General features: G+C 37.8%; 1 annotated feature.

Moving 5' to 3' along the window:
• Window positions 967-1,160: a silencer, noted in NCBI's record as "fragment chrX:139655621-139655814 (GRCh37/hg19 assembly coordinates)". NCBI's record gives its function as "represses an EF-1alpha promoter that drives an FKBP-Casp9 reporter gene in an ReSE screen in HepG2 liver carcinoma cells {active_cell/tissue: HepG2}" and the evidence as "EXISTENCE:reporter gene assay evidence [ECO:0000049][PMID:32094911]".

The following is a 2,119-nucleotide window of genomic DNA, read 5'->3' as shown; positions in this document are numbered from 1 at the left end:
TAATAATGTGACTTTGTGGTGGAATAGAATAAAGAGCACTTACAAATCAGCAAGAAAAAAACAAATCCCCCAATAAAAAAAAGATATAAAGGATACAGGTAGCAATTCGCAAAAGTAATCTAAATGGCCCTCAAACATATAAATAAATCAGGGATCATCAAACTATTGCCTATGGGCCAAATCTGGCTGCTGCCAGTTTTCGTACGTATTGGAACTCAGCCACAGCCATTTCACTTACATATTGTCTATGCATTGTAGCTATCCTACTACAATGAGGCAGAGTTGGGTAGATGCAACAGAGACTATGTGGCCTGCAAAGTTAAAAATATTTACTACCCGGTCCTCTGCAGAAAAAGTTTGCTGAGCCCTTGAATTGATGGTTAATTTCACCAATATTAAACCACAATATTTTCATTCAGTAAATATGTACTGAGCACTTAATTTACACTAAATATCCATTTTGTCTATCAGACTGATGAAGATTAAAGAGCATGACACTCTCCAGTGGAGGCAACAGAGTAAGGAAATAAATACTCTTTTATAGTATTGGTGAGGTGTAAATTGATACAACCAGCTTGGAGGAATATATATATATATATACACACACACATATACACATATACATGTACATATACACATATATAAGTTTAAATGGCCATACGCTTTGATCCAGCAATTTCATGTCTTACAATTTATCCTAAGAAAGTAATAGCCCCAGTGTATGAGAAGCTACAAGTAAAAGGATAACCACTGCAGAATAGTTTATAATAGTAAAACACAGGCCAGGCGCGCTGGCTCATGCCTGTAATCCTAGTACTTTGGTAGGCCAAGGCAGGCAGATCACCTGAGGTCAGGAGTTCGAGAACAGCCTGACTAACATGGAGAAACCCTGTCTCTACTAAAAATACAAAAATTAGCCGGGCATGGTGGTGGGTGCCTATTATCTCAGCTACTGAGGAGGCTGAGGCAGGAGAATCACTTGAACCCGGGAGGCAGAGGTTGCGGTGAGCTGAGATCCCGCCATTGCACTCCAGCCTGGGCAACCAGAGTGAAACTCTGTCTCAAAAAAAAAAAAAAAAATTTGGTATAACACTAAAAACATGTAAGCATCAATGTCAATCGGGATAAGTAGATAAATAGAGAAATAGACAAACAGAAAGAATGACATAGGTAGATACATATGCATTAAAAGAAATATCTTTTTATATATTTATGAAAGATTTGTGAAGTATATATACCAAATTGTTAGCAATGGCTACTCTTGGAAGGCGGATACAATTCTCTGTATTTTTCGAATGCTTCAACATGATCATGTGTTATCAAGAACTGAAAATGAAATAAAGATATTTCTGGGGGGAGGAGGGATAATTAAAGTTTACATTACAAACCAAAGGGGAGAAATGATCATTTTTAAAAACAGTGTTATACAATTAGCTAAGACAGACCATAAAGGCCTGTTTAAGCTTCAACATTGGCAAGAATAATTACTCTGATTTGTTTTAGGTTTGCTTTCACTTTGGTTTACCACTGAAGCAGCAAACAAAAACCAAAGAATATGCACAAGATCAAGGATAGAAATGAGTGAACCACACCACCACAAGGCACCACTAGCCCATAATGCACCTTTGTGTGAAGTAGAAAAAGATACCCCTTCCTCCAAGTAATGCAACTTCAACCAGTGCAAGTGGAACCTGGACTGGATTTCAGCGCCCAGTTGCTCCCTCTACTGGGCACACTTGTATAGGGAACAATGTGCACAAACTGAAGCAACTTTAGTTCCTCCTTTTCTTCTTAGCTACTTCCAGAAGCAGCCAATGAATTCAGCCTACAAGCATTGATTAATTTATCAGATCAAATGAGGACATCTCATGTTTACTGCCTTTTAAATTGTTAAAACTGTAGGAGCAATAGCAGGTCAAAGGAGTGAATATCCACATACTCACCACCTTTTAAATACTTCAGCCTAGAGAGACTATATCAGCACTCAGAAGATTCACCCTATTACCACATATGGAATGTTTTCCTTCACCAATCACATCCTTAAAATGTACTATTTTTTTACTATGACTTTCAGCCTATAGTTGGCCTGGCCTTTGAGTAACCATTGAAAAATTATGGT

This window comes from Homo sapiens, chromosome X (assembly GCF_000001405.40).
Source record: "Homo sapiens chromosome X, GRCh38.p14 Primary Assembly".
In the NCBI taxonomy this organism is placed as follows: Eukaryota; Metazoa; Chordata; class Mammalia; order Primates; family Hominidae; genus Homo; species Homo sapiens.
This window is presented reverse-complemented; position numbering and strand designations above follow the sequence as displayed.